At 35.2% G+C, this 20,764-nt stretch overlaps 1 protein-coding gene across 27 annotated transcripts in view, besides 1 other annotated feature; it reads left to right on the top strand.

Annotated features, from left to right (window-relative positions):
* The window catches only part of NAV3 (neuron navigator 3), a 641,149-nt gene that overhangs the window by 351,610 nt on the left and 268,775 nt on the right, over positions 1 to 20,764 (top strand). For all 27 annotated transcript variants that reach the window (XM_017020166.3, XM_047429817.1, XM_047429823.1 and 24 more), the window contains exons 2-3: positions 16,848 to 16,965; positions 17,610 to 17,662. In XM_017020166.3, the coding sequence (XP_016875655.1) occupies positions 16,848 to 16,965; positions 17,610 to 17,662 (171 nt within the window). The remainder of the gene's footprint in view (positions 1 to 16,847; positions 16,966 to 17,609; positions 17,663 to 20,764) is intronic.
* Positions 16,047 to 17,246: an enhancer, noted in NCBI's record as "P300/CBP strongly-dependent group 1 enhancer chr12:78333298-78334497 (GRCh37/hg19 assembly coordinates)". NCBI's record gives its function as "activates an origin of replication core promoter dependent on BRD2, BRD4, P300/CBP, MED14 and CDK7 cofactors, with strong dependence on P300/CBP, by STARR-seq in HCT116 cells {active_cell/tissue: HCT116}" and the evidence as "EXISTENCE:reporter gene assay evidence [ECO:0000049][PMID:35650434]".

A 20,764-nucleotide genomic window follows, 5' to 3' on the forward strand; every position in this document is an offset into this window, starting at 1 on the left:
AAATAATGTCATAAATGATGGTTAGTTTTCTTGAACAGCCCACCTAAATCTGTATCATCTCTTCTGTAGATTTGTAAAGTAGGACTGTAACATCTACTGTATATACCTCAAATGAGTATAACAAACAAAATGACCTATTTGTAAATTGTAAAGCAAAATTAGAATATTAGATACATTCAGTACCTAGTTCATTTTAATAATAAAAAAAAGGTTATATGAAGTTCCAAGGACCCCAGCAGTGGAAACTTGACCAACAAATGCTCACACTACCACCCCAGAATCAGCAGTAAAAAATGAATGGAACTGCTGGGAAATCAAGCTCAGAGCTTCAAAAGGAAGAGAGGAGTTACTAGTGATGAAGAGTCCACAATATATGCTCAGAAGATGCTATTAAATTAGTAAAAAGATAACCAGAAAACTGTAGGTACAACACAATGATCTCTGCAAGGGAAATAGGGATTTGGGGAATGGATTTTTAGCTCTCTATAGGAGTTGTAATTGAATTCCTGTACATAAGGGAGTTGTTCTCCTAAGGGTCTGGCTGCAAGGAGAATCTCTGTAATTTAAATTAAAACCAGCTGCTCTAACAAACTCCTGAATTTCAATGGCTCTGTACACAGTAGACTTTCAGCAGTCCACAGTGTTTCCTGGGGGTTGGGTATGGAGTTGAGATGCTTTGTTATGTACAGTCACTCAAGAACTCAGACTAATGAAAACACACATTTTCATTATGTGGCCTCATTGTTTTACCTGGATATATCCCAGGTGGCCCATGGGCAAAACGAAGAATAGGTTAGAGTATATTTTTGTGGGCTAGAGTAGGAAGAGATGCATAATACTTTAGCTCTTATTACATTGGTGATATCTAGTCCATTTTTATCCACCTAAATGCAAGGAGAGGAGAGCTGGAAATGAAGTCCTTGGTGAGAAGCTGCTTTCTAGAGAATATTTTATGCTATGGAAGGTGGAGCACAAATTTTGGTGAACAGTGAAAATGTAATAGGTTCTCTCATGAGGGGTGGCAGTAGGGGGACTTCCAGGCATGAGGCAGCTGGAAGTGTATCCCCGCTTGGGTCAACTCTTCACAAAAAGTAGTTTTTGCACAGTCATTAATTTTCAACATAGATATCTAAAGTATAATGTTCCTTGTAATATATCAGGTAATACATCAGATATGGACAAAGAAGAAATTCAAGATAAGGATATTCTATGAAAGTAAATTAGTTTCTGTGTCTCAATGCAATTAAAAAGAAAGTAGTCGATCTAAATATTGACATGTGCAATGGTTATTTGAAATTACTACACATTTGTTTGGGGAGAATATGTTTTTAAATGTAAATCATGAGTAAGCATATTCCATTGATTATAATAATGATGACTTATAGTGTATAGCTCATTTTACTTTTGCACATGTTTTCTATTACAGTTAATCCTCACAATAATCCTACGAGATAGGCAGGGTAGATAAGGATATGATCCTAGCATGAAAGACAAGACTCAAGATCCAGTAGTTAGTGGTGGAACTTGGAAGAAAGCCCAGAATTTCTGACTCCAGGCTCCATACTTTCCACTTCTGAAACCCTTCAAAAATTTAACTTTACTTTTTTGAAGGGTGGGGGAATGATGGGGAGGGTGAAAGGTTGGGAAAAAAAACAAGATTGACTTATGTCTGCTTCTCTAACTAGTGAGAATTTTTACTTTTTGTGTCTTGCATGTTGAATGAATGTTTTAGACCATATTTCACATATATTTTGAAGGTCAACTTTAATCATAGGAATAGGTTTATAAGAAGGGAAATTTTCTAAAATTTGGTTTAGAGGCTTGAATTTGAAATTTGGGGCTAATTTAAAATCTTTGACTTTTATTCATTATCTTATATTTGTATATAAACCGTATAAGTTCATATAGTGAGCAGTCTGCATGTTTTCTGTTTTTATTTTTATTTTCCTTTAGCTAATATATTCCAATAATTTGTAAGAGATTCAAATGGAATCCTTAGCATTTTAACAATTGTGCATTCCAGCAATTGTGGTGCATTACAAATGAAAGGATTTTAGGATGAAAAGGCGGGGGGAGGTTTAGGGTGGCTGTTAATGCTATGACTTCTAAGTCTCCATGCTCTCTTAGTGGTCATGTGGTTGGCTCATTATTTGAGCAGCATCGCTTTGCGGTTTGACAAGGCTACGCAGCAGCAGCCACTGTTAGCCGATGGTCTTGCAGGTATGTGGATCTAGCTCCTACCCGTGGTGATGTGGAGCTACAGCATGTCACTGGAGAGACACCAACTGCAGAAAGCTGATACATAATTGTGTATGAGTGGAATACAAAATGAAACCATCAAAGTGTCCTTAGCAAATAGCAAACTAGATGACAGATCTCACCAATATGTTTTGCTATAATTTATTGTAGTTTTAAAATTTTCAGGTATTTATGAAAATAGGATGCCCTCTAGTGGGGATCAACAGAATCTTCCAAGTAGTCTAATATTTGCTTAGAGTTGATGTAAAAAGAAGGAAAGAAAGTTGTTGAAAAAACAAATATTTTTTGAAAGTTGCTTACTTTTTCCTGGAAATTTCTCTATTGCTCCCTGTCAACTGATGGCTGGATTAGTACTCCCTGTGCACTGCATTTTTATTTCCATTACTTTTCACAGAGGCTCTTAAACACAGCAGGCAGAGTGTTCTCTCTCAGCTTCCAAGTTCTATGTTTTTAGCCTAAGTGAACGTAAACAATCCCTTGGCCACTTCTTTCTAAATTAATTAATTAATTAATTATAACCTATCTTGAAACACCTTTGAGGTAGATATCTATCTTTGTCACTAACAATTTAAAGTATTTAAAACATAGGAATGAATGCTTTGCAAGGAGGATTGTTGTAGGCAATGCTTACCTTACCTTATGCATCTTACCTTCCCTTACCTCCCAAGCTTCTTTTTACAAAGCATTTCTTCCTAGCAAGAGAGGCTTGGGAGGTAAGGGAAGATATAGATAGATAGATACATACATACATAGATAGATACATAGATAGATATAGATATAGATATGCCATGGCTGTTTTATTACTTTTCACTTACATTAAAATACTATATTCTTTACATTGAAAGACAGTTTAAGGTATTAGAATTAAATCTCTTGTAATTTGTGAACAGCATTCCATCCACGCCAGAGGTTCTCAAACATTAACACAGTTCAGAATCACCTGGCAGACTTTTTAAAATTCATTTGTTGGGCCCCACTACCAGTCTCGGATTCAATAGATCTAGGATGGGGCCTGGTAAGTTGCATTTGTAACAAGTTCCTAGATGATTCTGATGCATTGGTCAAGAACCTGCATTTTGAGAACTACGGTCTACGCTAAACCAATCTTTCCATCAGTCAATTTTTCTCTGTTAATTGTTGGAAAGTAAGGAGAAATGCTCAGGTCAGAAGCCTGGAAACTCTGAACTGCTAAGGCTTAAACGGAATTTATTCTCTTTTAACTTTGTGTTTTATTAACAGTATTTTCTTATGCATATTTATAGCATGTTACTTGGTCTTTGGAGGATGGTAGCTGATTTTACTTTGAATGTACTTGCACAATTTACATCAATTTATCAGACTGATACAAGAAGAAGTTAAAAGAATCTCAAGTATTCTCACTTGTTTTCTTAGAAAAGGGTAGAGATGGACTGTTTTCATAACTGTTTTTTAAAACATACTGTGTGGTATTAATATTTAGATTTTAGCTAATATTGTCACCAGCATTATTAGACTTCACAGACTGTTAAGATGAATTCCCCATGGAGCTCTCTGTTAGTACTAGATGTTGCAGCAGTCAAATAAAGGAGACTTTTCTCCATATTTTGAGATGGACATAAGATGTAACAGAAATAAGGTAGAAGGCTGGAGTTAAGAAAGGCTCATAAATAAAACATTTCCTTTTGTACGAGCTGAGAGTATAAATCTTGAGACAGAAAGTATGGGTTCTATGTAGCACTTACTGTTGCCACCTTGGGAAAATACTTCACTTCTCTGTTTTAGAATCTTCATCTTTAAAAACGGAATAGTGGTACCTTCCTCTTAGGGAGCTTTAAGGATTGAATGAGTTAAACTATTTAAAGTATTTAAAATAGTGCTTACTCTCAACACTGTTATTAGTAGACACTACATCTTGGAGAAAGAATGTTATGTAGCCCTTTCTTGTCATACTGCTGGTAGCAGTGGAAATGCAATTAAAGTGAAATAAAATTTAAGTTACCACCAGATTGTGCCTTATAATTATAATAGCCAACTCCTTTTTCAAAAATGTATATCATATCATTTTTTGTAGAAGAAAAGATCATTAGTCAGGCCCCATGCATTTAAGACCGGGTAGCTGGTTCTTCATTATGTATTTTATTTCTGCCAGAGTGTTTGATTGACTGTCTGTATTGACCATGAGGTTGCCCAGTATGACTGCATCACTAAAGGTTAGAGAAGGAAAATGCTGGAAGTGCACGGTGACTCATACCTGTAATCCCAGCACTTTGGGAGGCTGAGGTGAGCATATTGCCTGAAGTCTGGAGTTCGAGACCAGTCTGGCCAACATGGTGAAACCCCATCTCTACTAAAAATACACAAAAATTAGCCAGACGTGGTGGTGTGCGCCTGTAATCCCAGCTACTCGGGAGACTGAGGGGAGGGAATTGCTTGAATCAGGGAGGTAGAGGTTGTAGTGAGCCGAGACTGCGCCACTGCACTCCAGCTTGGGTGACAGGGCTAGGCTCCGCCTCAAAAAAAAAAAAAAAAAAAAAGAGAGAGAGGGAAGGAAAATGCTGACTCAGTTTCCAAAGTATTCAGTACATTTGGAACAGCAAGAAAGATTAGAGAACAACACATATGGCTTTAAATGAATGCCGAGGGGTTCTCACAATGATGATCTGGACACGAACTAGGTAGCTAGAATGCCAAAGGATAAGGGAGATGGAGGAAAGATGAGGCAGTCATCATTGCAGAGAACCCCTACTAGGATTTCAAAATTGTCTGACCTGTTCCCGACCCCCTCCCTCCCTTCCTCATTAACGAAAAACTTATGTGCCTTATCCTTGTTGGTACTGCCCATGGTGCCAAGCACAGTACTGCTCAATAAATGTTGGCAGGTTTGATTTGACTATGAATGACATGGTTTGTGTTATGGCCTCAGCTTTTTTCTCTATTAAAAAACTGCATGTAAAGAAAAATCAGAACATACTGTAGTTAGCATAGTAAATCCTACCCTTTCTTTTCCTATCAACTTACCTGTATTTCTGTTCATCTAAAAATTTCCTATTTCCAATCTAATAATAGAGATATGTAACTAGATTCTAAGCTAGTGAATTGTGGCTACAATTTTAAACAGATAAATGCAGTTGCAAATGAAAATATTAATGTAATTTCAGCTCTGATAAAATCTGAAATTGAGTTAAAGGGTGCACTTGATATCTGCATAACAAAGTGTCACTGGGATGGGTAGGGGTAGGTGCCAGAGAGTTCAGGAGGTCAATGTTGATTATTTGTCCATCTGGCTTTATGGTCAAAAGAAGTACAGTAGCCTGCTGTGGTGAATTCTCTGTTTGGGTAGGAAATAACTCTCAGAGTACTTGAAAAGTTAAATGCTGTAATAATGATATTTATGCATATCAATGTAGTTTATTCATTTTGTCTGAAGACAGCTAATCTCTTCATATGAAATATATCATTAGTAATATGTTAGATATACCAGGATTTTAATATATTAATTAAGGACTTGTATTCTTTGCAACTAAAATCAAACCGTTTTAAAAAATAATTAGGAGATATGTATATTTTCTTAAAACCTAAAAACCAATTTTTAGAGTTCCATTTTTAGAGTTCCATTCCATTAGCCTGTCAAAGCCACCACATTGCATAGCTCTGGCTGCGTCACGGACAGGGACATGTCATTGACCCTATAAGCTATAAGCCAGTCTTTATTGAGTGTCTACTAAGTGGGAGACACCAGTATCTAGCTAATCCAAACCAGAAATTTGAATTTATCCACCTTGAGTCAAATCTGTTTCACTTTCAAGTCTTGCTGATTCTACTCCGTAAATACGGCTTTTCTATATCCCCACACCTTTGGTTTTCTGTATCCCTACCTCATCATCTTTCGCTCAGACTCTTTTTATAACCTTATTTTTATTTATTTATTTACTTATTTATTTTTATTTTCTTTTAAGATGGAGTCTTTTAAGATGGTGCAGCAGCATGATCTCGGCTCATTGCAACCTCTGCCTCCCTGGTTCAAGCGATTCTCCTGCTGCAGCCTCCCAAGTAGCTGAGATTACAGGCACCCGCCACCACGGCCAGCTATTTTTTTTTTTTTTTTTTTTTTGTATTTTTAGTAGCAATGAGGTTTCACCATTTTGGCCAGGCTGGTCTTGAACTCCTGACCTCAAGTTATATGCCTGCCTCGGCCTCCCAAAGTGCTGGGATTACAGGCATGAGCCACCATGCCTGGTCTATAAACTTTATTTTTAAATGAATGATTTTCATTGTTATTAGACTATTAAAATAAAATAACATGTAAAGTTCTACAGGTAAACAAACAAGAGCAGTCCTATCCCTAGCTCCTCTCCAACAAAAAGAATGAATTTCTACCCATTTAGCAATTTCTTATGGTGATTATTTTTGTATTTCCAAGTAATATGCTTTAATATCCTACTTTATGAAATTTAGAGACTATTGACTTTTTGGGATGGTATATAAGGACTTTGCTTCTTTATAACCCCCTTCTTCTCTGCACTACCCCCAATATACTTACACTATAATTTTCAGTGAAATCTATATTGTTTTCATTGTTCCCATGTAAATATTATTCACTACCAGACTAATACTAGCCTAGGATTAAAGTCTCTTTCTTAAACAGAGTTTGTTGTTTTTTTTCTATAGAGCTAATAATTGCCTCACTTTTTTATTGTATAATTTATGTTGACTTTATGGCTACATTTACCTTTTTTTTTTAACAGTTTCCAACAGATCTGTAAAATCCATCCGTATACAATTTTCCTTATAATCCAATTCTCACACAGTGCATCAGATTTATTATTTCCCTAGTGTTAACAATTCTAGAATCATTTCTCTTTGTTCCAATGTAAAATGATTGCTCTCTAGATCTGTTACATAGCAGTTACACTGAACTTTCCTTATCATCAGCTGAAAATGTCTTTGCCTCTCTCTTACATTTGGTCACCTGTTTGTTGGATTCCATTATTTTCACTTCTGATAGCCTCCTTACAAGGGATGTATGAAAATATTTTTTTCTCTTAGAATGTTTTTGTATAATATATCCTTATTTTATTATCCCAACTGTTGGAAAGTTTGTCTAGGCATAGAATTTGAGATTGAAAATCAATTTCCTCCAGAATTTCATAGGAATTTCTCTGTATCTTCTAGTTGCAATGTCACTGTAGAGACTTGTGATGTCATTATAATTTCTGATCCTTTGAAGGTAACTTGAACTTTTAAAATTTGTTTCTTTGTGCCCCACCCTCCTGAAGCTTTTAGAATATTCTTTTTATCCCTGATATTGTTATCAATTTTTATCTTCTTAATAGTGATGAACACTTTGAAAATTCTTTCCTATAATTTTTTTCCTATCTTATTTTTTGGAACTAGTATTTTTTTGACACTTGACTTACTGAATCCTCTAATATGACTATATTTTTCTATTATTGCTCATCTTTTTCAATTTTGATCTCCCTTCCAATAAACCTTCTCAATTTATCCTTCCAGCCTTTCAGCTTTAAAAAGTCAATCATATTTTTAATTTACAAAACTTCTACTTAATCCCTAGATCTTCAAATATATGTGTGTGTATTTGTGTGTGTGTGGGTGTAAGTGTGCATGTGTGCATATGTGTGTATGTATCATTCATTTTCTTCTGCATCCGCTGAGGAATGCAACTTCTCATTTCTAGGGTATTAATTTTAATTTCCCTGAAGTTCTCTTATGCTTCAGCTTTGTCTGTATTTTATTCTGGCTTCTTTTTATCTGTCTATTTTGGTATCTCCATTTTATTTCAGAGAATTTTATCAAACCCCTGGTAAACCTCAATTCTCTGTATCAAGCATGAGACAATAAAAATCTACTTGGAAGCGGCCAGGTGCGGTGGCTCACTCCTGTAATCCCAGCACTTTGGGAGGCCCAGGCAGGCGGATCACAAGGTCAGGAGATCGAGACCATCCTGGCTAACACGATGAAACCCTATCTCTACTAAAAAATACAAAAAATTAGCCGGGTGTGGTGGCGGGTGTCTGTAGTCCCAGCTACTCGGGAGGCTGAGGCCGGAGAATGGCGTGAACCCGGGAGGAGGAGCTTGCAGTGAGCCGAGATCGCGCCACTGCACGCCAGCCTGGGTGACAGAGCAAGACTCCATCTCAAATAATAATAATAATCTACTTGGAAGCTATTTGTGCGTGTGTGTTTGTGTGTGTGTGTGTGTGTGATGCACATAGTTGTTAATGTCTTTTGTGATTCATTATAGGCCATCCTATAATGATGGCCAGCTCATTGATTCACTGGGTACCATGAGTGTCAGTATCTGTTGATCTTAGGGATGATCATTGTTGTCAAAGACAGATTTTTTAAATCTGACTGGAGTGAGGGTGGAGGATATGAAATCCTATATTCCTGAAGGAGAGGGTGCCAGGGAAGCAAAAATCAGTTGCTGGGGTCTCAACATAAGTATATATAATTTTACTTAATCCTTTTGTTTTCATTTCCATGCCTTTACCTTTTGTCTTCCTGATAACCCTAAGTCCGGATTTTCCCTAAAGTATGTCCTGGCTTTTGATGGGAGAATGGATAGGCCGGCAACAATATAACTCTTGAATTTGGTTCATCCTACCTTCCATTTGATCTGATGCTCATACTTTCTGAGCCATTCTGGGGGTCTGTGGGAAAATCTGTTTGCATTACTCTGTCTCCCTCTGCAGGCTTCTGTGGGTCCATCTTCCTTTACTACTCTGCTACATGTGTATCATTCTTTCATCTGCCTTCCACACTCATATATTGTGTTCATGGAAGATAGAATTTGAGTTAAGATTTTTTGTTCTTGCTGTCCTGTGGGCAATTTCTTAGTAAATACAGGGCAGAAAACTATTTTATCATCTAGAATACAGAAGTCTTGTAAGTAATCTGTCTTTACTTTCTTGACTCTAAACTTGACTCTAAACTCCATAGCTGCACTCAAGTTCAAGTTTAGTAACAGGAGCATGGCTGTCATTTTCATGTTCCCTACATGAAAATAAACTTTCACCTAAAAATCTTAATAAAGCCTTCTTAGCTTCAGATATTATTGCTTTTTGCCCAACCCTTACCTGATTCCTGGCCTCTTCCTTTAGTGTTTCCATGTGCCCCTTCCCCATGTTCTGGCCAAATAGAACTATACAAAATTCTCTGAAATCATGAGGCTATTTCATAGCTCTGTTCCTCTGTAGATGTAATTATTTATGCATATTCTGCATGGAATATGCTTTCCCCTTCCTTCTGATTGTCAAATCTCATCCTTTTATGTGTCATTTCTCAATCATCATTCTTCTGTAACCTTCATAGTTATGTTTTACTCTTTTTGCTATTTTTATTTAAACTAATTTTCTCTTAAAAATGGAATAAATTGACTTCATAAGGGACATTTTTTTTGAAGTTAAGTGGGAGCTATTTTGTGATTTTTACTAACACGTTAAATTACTTGATCAGATTTGCATTTTAAAGCAATCACTATCTGTAGTGTATAGAATAGTATAATGCTTAGCCTGCCTGCACTCAGAAAGTGTTTATATGACTGTTAGAGTGATTGGGTGAGAGATGATGAGAAGCGACCCAGGGCAATGATAGTAGCAATGGAGGAGTGGAAGGGTGAAGAGATGTTAGGGAGATAAAATTAACAGCACTAGGTCAGAGATTGAAAGAGAATGACAGAAAAAAAGTAAAAGGAAATTATCAGACTTCAATTTATGTTTACTTTATAATTTACTTGCCTTCATAGACCATCCACCGATCTTATGGGGTAGTCAACTCATTAATATTCACTTTTAAATCAAACTCCAAAGTTGAGATTTTTGAAAAACTTCATACAGTGTGAGCTTTCATTTTAATGTGAATATTGAGGTGAACTATCTGTACAGACTGAGGTGAACTAGCTAGATGGTGAATGTATTACATATATTGTGACAATATGATGTTACCCAAAACTTTTAATGGATTCGTTTCATAATTATACCACATGAGCTATTGAGATTTCTAGAAGGCCTACAAGAGTCATGAGATTGGACTCATTCACAGATCTTTTGGTCATATCAGTTCTGTAACAACAACTGCAGATCCAGTCTGTGATCAACTTTTCAAAACATCTAAAAATAGTATGTATTGTGTCTTAATCCCACACTGTGATTTTGCAACCTTCTTTGTCCAATGTTGCCTACCATTTTTGAATTTTTGAGTCTTAAAACTGTGGTGTACAAAATTATATCTTTGAAAAAATATATAACTTCACCTTTTAAGCCTCTTTCTCTGTATAGTAGGAGAAAATGTATTTATCTCAGTTCAAAGTAACATAATCACTTTCAGTTTAAAACTCAGTGTTTGAGGGCCAGGCTCATTCAGTTCCAGATTCTTCCTTTTCTTTCTGCAGTGATGGGCTGGGGAGGGTTGTTGATTGTGGTTCCTTATTATCATGGCACCAGGGGTGACACAGCTTGTTCATTGCCATTGCTACCCACCAAGGCTGCTGTCTGATGAGTGCCCGAAGGTAGGATTCCTGTCATACATAACTTGACTTATTTTAACCTATCCTCACATCTTCTGTGCCCTTTTTGCTTTTCTGTGCCAGCTCTATACATCCTTCCTGTCCTGATTTCAAGTGCTCTCTAGGATCACTTCTTTCTTCCAGAAAATTCCATATGGCTCTTGGGAAATTATAAAAAAAAAGTATGCTTTCCTATACTGTTGTGGTCAATGTTGTCCTTTGTGATTCCATTCTCAGGTCCAAATGCTACTTTGAAACTCAGTCCAGAGAGGTAACCTCTTAAATCTGTTCTAGGGCTCCTTTTCCTTCCAATTCTCTTCCCTATACTAGTTTTTCTTTTTGTGGGAAAAACACTTACTTCACTGATCACCTTTCCCTAAGGTATGATTTCTGGTTGCACTTTATATGCTTAGTCTTTTGCTGCTTTTTAAGATGTAGAAGTCCAGTTATTATCATAGAAACCCTTGGTCTTCAACACAATTCCTGTTATGTCTTAGAAGAACCCATTTAACTTTACAAAGCCAGTAATTTGAACATACCAGGGAGCAGTGCTTATAGAAATGTAATGCTACTGCTTGAATGTTGAAGGAAAACAATAATGTTTTAAATAAGTACAGGGTTAAAATTAGCTCAGCTAATATTTTTAAATCCTCTGATTATATTCATAATATCTTCTAATCAGGTTACAGATTAGTGTGTTTTTATTCAAACAGACTTTTAACTTCAATGAAGAGGCAGTCTTTCCCCTATCACTTCTCCCTACTTCTTCGATTATTTAGGATTCCTTAAAAATAAGTTACTTTATCCCATTGAAACACATATACCTCTATGTAGTGTATGGAATAACAAAAATAGTTATAATCATTTTTATATAACTGAGTGGTAGGTTACTTATAAAATACTAACCAAATGCTAAAATAAATAATTTTTAAAAATGTAGGAGCAGCTTGCTGTGACAGACAAAGATAGTATGTAATACTGTCAGTAGTAAAAAAAAATCACAAATGTTTAGGACTTCAAGGAAAATCAGAGTAGATCTTTTTCTGATGTTGTTTCTTCATAGCAGGTTCACTTCTCAAAAGAAATATGGTATCATATATGTTGCCTTCTATTTCATCCTCATATTTATAGTGAATAATGAGCACTGTAAGAGAAATATCATAGAGGCAAATGATGAAGCTACAAGGTCATTACAACTTCCTGCAATTTTCCTTAATTAGTTAGGTAAACTATATTTGGATGAATATATATGATTTAAGAGTTTAACAATAATAATGGTTTACAATATTTCTCATGGTTAATGGAAATGTATTTCATATTAAAGCAGTGAGCTACTAATAACAATATTTAACATAGTGAAAGTCCATATTCCAAAGTAGAAATTCATTAAATCCTCACAATAATTCCATTGGTTGAGGTATTAGTCTGTTTTCACACTGCTATAAAGACATCCCTGAGACTGGGTAACTTGTAAGGAAAAGAGGTTTAATAGACTCACAGTTCTGCAGGCTCCAAAGGTAGCATGGCTGGGGAGGCCTCAGGAAACTTACAGTCATGGTGGAAGGTGAAGGAGAAGCAAGATCATCTTACGTGGTGGGAGCCAGAGGAAGAGAGAGAGCCAAGGGGGATGTGCTACGCACTTTCAGAAAAACCAGATCTCATGAGAACTCTATCAGAACAGCAAGGGAAGAAGTCTGCCCCCATGATTCAGTCACCTCCCACCAGGCCCCTCCTCCAATACTGGGAATTACAATTCAACATGAGATTTGGGTGGGGACACAGAGCTAAACCGTATCAGTAGGTTATAATATTATTGCCATTTTACAGATGAGAATACTGGGGAATTTAGAGAAAAGAAATGTTCAATCAAAGTCTGCACAAATATTAAGTGGCAGAGCAGACATTCCAACAATGTGAATTGTTCCTCAAAGAATACATGCTATTGCATAATAGGCCCCAAAATTCATACTGATAAATGTAAAATATACCATGATACCTTTGATTTTTATCACTTTTAATTATGGTTAATGAATGATTATGCATGCAATTGTACTAGAATTTCTAAGTAGCCCTCTTGTAAACGCAATCTCAGTAATTCTTCTGAATTCCTTGAGATAAAATTATTAGATGGGATGATATTTATATTCATCACGTTGAAGTTCATCAAAACAGTCGAAGAAGACTGGCTTCAGATTTCCAGAGATAAATCGTATTGGAAGCTTTAGCCAGAACATTCATGATTAAAATCTTCAATGACCCTTTTACAAAAATTACCAAACACTGAATTATGATTAGTTTGATATTGTTCCCAATTATACCAATTTCTTCACTAAAAAAACTATAATTAATTCATAGCATAAGCCTGCAAAATACATTACTGCACATTTTGTAACTCATTCAGCTGAAACTAAAATGTTAAATACTGTGATTATTATTTTTGTGATAATGAACTGAGGGCAATTTTGGAGTTCAAATCCAATTTCAGGACCTGATTTCACCATCCTGTTGTATTTATTTAAAGATCACATTCTAATGACAGTTGACAAGGTTGTTTGTATTCTCTCTCATCACGGCATTACAGTACATTTATTGATGAGTTTTAAATACATTTTTATACCATGTGTCCTTTGCTCGAAGTCTCCTTAAAGACACAACTCATTTTTCCACCTTTGTATTCAACTTACACATATACAATTTTGAAAGAGAGAAGTATGTTTGTATATAATATTTTAAAATATATTTACATGTTACTTTGTAATTTTTGAAATATTTCACCATCTAGATTATAATATCCTTTTGGAAGGCACTGGTTTTCCCTCTCTTGTCATTTCCTTGGAGGGTCTCAAGTATCTTTTAAGTATGGAAGACACAGCTGTTTATTAGAAGGAACAAATAAAGTGTACTACAATTATTTTTAAATTTGCATTAAATTTCTTTATATAGCCATTGCTCTCACTGATTGCAGCTGAAGTTAGAAATACGGCCTGAGCAAAGTTTCAGATATTAGAGATGCTGGACATATCAAAGCCCTTAAGCTTGGGATTCCTCTGGAAGAAATTCTGGATCAAACAAAAAATGATTTGTGAGCTAAAACACAGGTATTACCAACAAGGTATCTTGAAGCCAACTAGCTGGCCTCCCATTTGTTTTCTCACCTAAGTCCCAGGATGAATTTGGATAAAGGCTAAGGAACTGTTGACATGCATTTGGAGAATGAAAGTATTCTTATTTTCACTTTCCATTCATATCATTTTGTTTTTTATTTAAACAAATGTTTTTGTATAATTAATGTTATCATAAAACAAAACCAACGAAATACAGTTTGATGGAAGTGGTGCCACAATAGAGACATTACAGGTCTGAATGAGAATATGACAGCCTTAATCTGTTATTTAGATTTCCCTGAGTTCAGATGGCAGACAGATTCACAACACCTGTGAAGTGGAAGGCAGGCAGAATTAGTGATAGGAGTAGTGTCAGAAGCAATTACTACAATTTCTTTAGTCTTCTGATGCCAGCCTTCTCAATTTTCTTAACATTTGTGAAATTATAACTTTAACAAGTATTTGTTGGAAAGCTATCACAGCAAAATAAAACTAGATGCCATGTGATGATAATAATAGCAAGCATGTTTTTTCATGACTAGCTTTGTGACAGATGCTTTACAAGTGCTATCTTATTTAGTCCTGGCACAATCCTATAATGTAAGTATTATTTTTCTCCTTGTTTTACAACAAGACTTTTTTTTACAAGAGGAATCTGAAGGTTAAGTAACTTGTCCAGGGTTCCACTGGTAGTAAGTGGTCTCAAGTCAGATCTGTCTGACTCCAGAACTCATTCTCCTCACCCTTGTGAATCCTTTTTCAACCCATGGCCCCAGTCTTTGCCTATGGACAGATCGGCACAACTCAAGTCTGACTTAACCTGAAGTTTCTACTAGAAGGCCAAAACAATTCTATCATTTAAATGAAGTGTTAAGAAGGGGAGTGTGCTCAATGTTTTAAATTCTAAACAGTATAAAATCCTTCCAAAAAATGTATGATCATACAAATATAATCAAATCTTAACTGAGAAAAATTATTACCAAATAAAAGCATCCACCTAAAAATCATGTATTTGTGTGCTAATTCAGGAGACAGTTATGCAAGTAATTTTTCTTACCCTTCAATATCTTCAACATAGAGATCATGGATATTAATAAAAGGAGATGCAATTTTGCTCTCACATATATTTTTCTTATGCAATGGGATGCTTCCAGTTGTTTACATCTTTCAAGAAACTTAATCACCACCAGATATGTACTAGTCTTATGATGCCAGTAGGACTACTTTGTATTTTCTAATAGAAAGGAACACTTTTTCTTCTGTGTTGTAATCTTGTGATATTTAGACCCAAGATTCATTCAAAACACTTAGCAGCCCCATTTCTAGGTTTTTGACATATAACAATACTAGCATATGAGTTCAGGAAGGTACATATGTCAGGCTGTCTCTTGCAACTTTAGATATAATAGAAACACATTTAAACAAGTCAAATATCTATCAACTGGGGGATTGATATATATAATGCAATATTAAAAATAGATGAACATACATGAAATGGCTCTTAGAAAAGCTGTTAAAATATTGTTACTTATAAATTTGAAACTGCAAAATAATATGTAAAATTTGAGCCAAATTTGGTTTAAAATGTGATCTCGTGTGTGTGTGTGTGTGTGTGTGTGTGTGTGTTCTGTGGCATGGTGTGAAGTGCGGTGTAGATACATCAATTCTGGAACTCTTCATACCAAATTATTCAAAAATGGACAGGGTTGAAAGTTGTGGGGAGACTTTCATTTTTTAGTTTCTATACTTCTGGTTTATTATTATTACTTTTTTAAATGTGAATTTGCTTTGTTAGAAATGTTTAAAAAGTTTTTAACATGCTTGGCATTTAGTGTTCATAACTATAAAATGCAACTTACCTTTTCAGCCTAATTTTCCCTAATTTTAGACATTCTGCCTCAATTACAGTTTTTACTGCTGTGTCCTAGATTTCTTTGCCTGTCGGCTTTTCTATATGTTATACCCACTGCAAGGAAGGTCCTTCTCCTCACTTCTCAGGCCTAGGTTCTATGTTATTTCCAGTTCTAATTCCAGTGCTTCTAACAATAATTTTAACAAGCGTATTTCTTACTTTCTTTCTTCTATTCTCATTTCAAATATTTTGTTTTTCTGTTACACCACATCATAGAGTGCCTTGTAATAAATCCACTAATATATGCATATGTACCACCCATAAAGCTGAAATCTTCATGCTTATTTTTCCCTTACAATTAGTAAGTATTCTATTCAATTGAAAAAATTAACAATGTTTTATTTTTGTGAAATTTTTGTAGAGTTTCAGCTTTTCTGTATATCATGATCTGCTGTTGAAGAGACACCTCTATTTTATGTCAAATTGTCAATTTTGTGCCTTATAATCCACTTCTGAATTCTACATTGTAATTTCTGTGTAATAACTCCATTTGCTGCCTCTATTCTCTCATATAAACACATTTCAAGAGGCTTAAATGGAAGACGACAATCCAAATCAAATTTCTTAGACAGGAAGGTATTTGTAATTATCTCATAAAATGATGCCAAAATCTTGTCACATACAGTATCTCACATGACAAATTCAATAGTGTTCTCAGAGAAACACAATTTTTTATAGTAATGTTTCTATGTAAATCAGTCCAGGTGGGTTTCTTTTACATGAACAAGCAAGATTGTTTTCAAAATGATAGAAACAATAAAGAGAGAGAAAACCCAAACTGATTTGCAATGGGAGTTTCCTCAGTAGTCATCCCAGAGGGAAGTTTTGCTTTGTCACAAGTGACTAGCCCTTAATTTTGAGAGTGAATCATCCCCTTTGAAATGAGAGATAAGTTGGGGAAAGAGCTGTTTAAAAATTACTTTACAACTATTTCCTTTAGAGCTATGACTTCTTAAACTGGAATGTGATCCAGAATAGCTTCCCTTTGAATCCAACATTTGTCTTCAGCATTTTATTGTCTCTGTTTTCCCTCACCCCATCTCACTTTTTCCTTCTCTCTGTTCAACAGATTTACACTGACTGGGCCAACCACTACCTAGCAAAATCAGGCCACAAGCGGCTGATCAAGGACTTGCAACAAGACATTGCAGATGGAGTACTCCTAGCAGAAATCATCCAGATTATTGGTAAGCCCTTCCTTCTGAAAGAAAGCATGAAAGTCTCTGCTCCCATCTCTTTGGTAAAGCACAACTTAAGTTAAGCGCCTTACTGAACTGGTCCATGTGTCTCTGAGATTCATGTAGCTCTCCCCTGATTTAATTAAAATGTTTATATGAGGATGTTTGAAAAAGGCAGTTTGGCCATACTTTTAAATAACTAGAACTGTATCTTTATATACATAAACTTGCTAACCTTTATTGAATCATTTGAATCGAACTGTCAGAAATGAATGCTTCATTAAACCATATGTCTCCCATGTGTGTATTTCGTTAGCTGGAGCAACTCATACACTCTGAGATGCCTTGAAACTGTATCCTGATCCAGCAGGGACAATTGTGAAAGGTTTCATGTCAGCAATCATTTGGCACAGGCTAAAGAATTAGCAGCAACTTCCTTCTCACTCATTTTTTTTTTTGCCTGATTTGTGCATATAGAATTGGCAGCTGCTAATAAGTGTGTCTTCTTGTACACTGCTTGGAAGACAGAATATATGTAGCAGGAGCATTTTTGCTTGGTATTTTTTTTTTCCTGTTTTCGTGTGTGTGTTTCACTTCATTGCTTAAGCATGTCGTTCTTTTTTTCTCTCTTTTATTTTATCTCTTGGCTTTAGCAAATGAAAAAGTTGAAGATATCAATGGATGTCCTAGAAGTCAGTCTCAGATGGTAAGAATCATATTTATTCTCAATATATAATGCTGATCTTCACTTCCAGAATTAATTGCATTTGTAAATGGATATTATTTTTTTTCTGCATGTCTTCCTGCTTAAGAAACCATTTGATCCCATTCTCTCATATGTATTTGTGTGGGTTCAATTTAGGCACATCAACATCATTAAGTGACTCCTATATACACATGACATATTTCCAGATGTCTTATTAGATCCTTGACTTTTTTTTGTTCTGCTGTTCTGTATAATTTAACACTGGTCTTAATGGTAGTAAATTTCATTTCTACTTTTAAGTGGATTATTTTTGTCTGAACAACTGGCTTAAAGAACAGGCTTTGCCATGGGCATTTTAAAATATATAAATAGTATTTTCTTTGTTCATAACAAAGTCCAGTGTAAACACATGGACTCTTCAACACTTCTGGAAATAGTTCTCAAGGCATGCTGCTGTCAGTTTGGTGAGCAGTGACTGATTTTGAGATATGATTCGTAGTCTCTTCCAGAAAGCCTTCAGCCTGGATATCTGCCTCTTTCCCAGCTATCTCTTATCTTTATCAACCAATAAAAACTTCAAGTTTTATAATAAAGTCAAAGAGTAATAAACTATAGAGATAAAAATATGTTTCTTAATTAAAAAGCCACAACTTAGTTTTATAGGAAAACCTGAAATATAAAATGCCTTAACTAAAGTTACATCAAGCAGATATAATCAGGAATGACAGCCGAAATCCACAAGATGAAGCTTTCTCCAAAACTCTTCAGCACAGAATAGGCATTTTAAATGAATTTAATGAGTTCTTAGTTGTCAGAAACTTGGAAGAATAAAAAAATCTATGAACTTTTAAAATATACTGACCTACTTTACTTAATGTCAGAAAACTGAAATCCAAAATAATAAACATAATTTATTTCTAAAAGTGATTAACTATCATGTATATTTTTAAAATAATTGGCCAGATGTGGTGGCTCACACCTGTAATCCCAGCACTTTGGGATGCCAAGGCGGGTGGATGACCTGAGGTCGGGAGTTCGAGACCAGCCTGACCAACATGGAGAAATCCTGTCTCTACTAAAATTACAAAATTAGCCAGGTGTGGTGGCGCATGCCTATAATCCCAGCTACTCGGGAGGCTGAGGCAGGAGAATCGCTTGAACCAGGGAGGCGGAGGTTATGGTGAGCGAGGATTGTGCCATTGCACTCCGGCCTGGGCAATACGAGCAAAACTCTGTCTCGAAAAAATAAATAAATAAATAAATAATAAAATCAAATAATAAAATAAATAAATAAAAAATAATTACTCCCAGGACCTATTATGATGTCATGAACTCTGTGTATATGGTTGTGAAAAAAATCACTGTAAAAGAAAGGATTTCTATACAATCCTTCAGTTTTAAGGAAACTTCCTGATCTAATTACTCTAAGTGACTCTGTGGGAATTAATTACAGTTGTTTTCTGAGGTTTTACTGTGAACAAGCCAAATCAGAAGACATTTAGACCTTGATACAGTAATAAGCTGTGTGATGTTGAGAAAAATATGTAACTTCTTTGAGCCTTAGCTTTCTCATCTGTAAAATGAACCTTAATTAGAATGTGACAATGAGATATGTATGTGAACATCCTTTATTAACACAACTAAAATGCAATGCAGAATAGTATTGCTACAAACTTTGTAAAGGACACATGCGTGGATTAACACCTGTTAAAAGATTTTTAAGGCTTTCAGTTAAAAAGCTCAACAGTCCCCTGAAACCATAATTATGTTTCTTAAACCCAACATGGTTGCTTTTGCTTTCATTATTTTTACCATGAGGAGGTGTTGAATAATATAAAACATTTTAAGTCTAGAAACTCTTACCTACTTGGCTATCATTCCAATTTGATTCTGGGATTACAGAGAATTCAATAAACAGGCAAGCTTATACTCAGTGATGGAAAAACAATTCCAAAGCTCATAACAATGGTTAATAGAGATGCTGTTTTTACCTATTTATCTGAAACAGCTGTTCCTAGAGATTCTACAAATCTGTGAAGAGTCTCTTGAGTTTCAGACTCTGTTAATTTTTTTATTACTTCTTATTCCTGTTAACTGCAAAATATCATGTTACAGATATTATGCAAGTTATGTTGATATTTCCACTTCTGATTAAAACAAAATAGAAAGACCACAGTCTAAGAAATGCAAATGCTATAAAAAAGGTAGTTTATTCAGCCAAAAAGCATTAGTTGGAATCATATCGAATATTGACTAAGAATGACTTAGATCCTCATTTCTTTAAGATGTGGTTGAATTTTGAATCTGAAGTTGGCATGCCTTCAATTTCTTGATTCAGAAAAATACATATGAAATAAATGTAACTTTTTTGGCTGAATTATTTTTGCCTCTGTTCTTAAGAATTTGTGTAAGCACTATTAGTGAATAAAAATTCCAGACTTTAATTGAGACAAGAATGAAAAGGAAAGATAATTATGATAGCATGACTAGGCTTATGAATTTCATGTATCTACTCCAAACAGGATGTTGCCTGTTCCTTGATTGCATAACACTGGGAGGTGCTACATTAGTAAGAGTGAGTGGTATACTTGCTCATAGGACTACTTTGGCCACCTCTTTTTGTATACCTGGTCTCTTGTGGCCTTTGGTTGCTGTTGGTGCTTAATAACAAAAGATAAAGTAAAATTAGGTCTGCTGCTATTTTTAATCACGAATTGTTTTTATTTAAATGTTAAACTTGCTACCCTTTATTGAATCATTTTAAGCCTTTAAGAATAGAAGATCCCTTTTGTTGTATGAATCTACAATGTATTGATAAATTTCCATAGTAGCCAGGTAATTCACATGTAATCAATATTTACTAAGCACTGAGTACAAAGTATAATAACATTTGGATGAACTACACTTGAGAATTGGAGGAGCAAATGTTTAGATAAATAACAGCAACAGTTACATAGGCGAGAACAAAAACGACTGAGAATGGAGTAAGTTTGGTGCATTCCACAAACAAATAGAAGAGCACCGTGGATTAGGCACAAGGAGAGTTGTTTGAAGGGAACAAGGAAGCCTGATAGTGTAGGGCCAAAGTAAGGAGTTGGTATG

This window comes from Homo sapiens, chromosome 12 (assembly GCF_000001405.40).
Source record: "Homo sapiens chromosome 12, GRCh38.p14 Primary Assembly".
Lineage (NCBI taxonomy): Eukaryota > Metazoa > Chordata > Mammalia > Primates > Hominidae > Homo > Homo sapiens.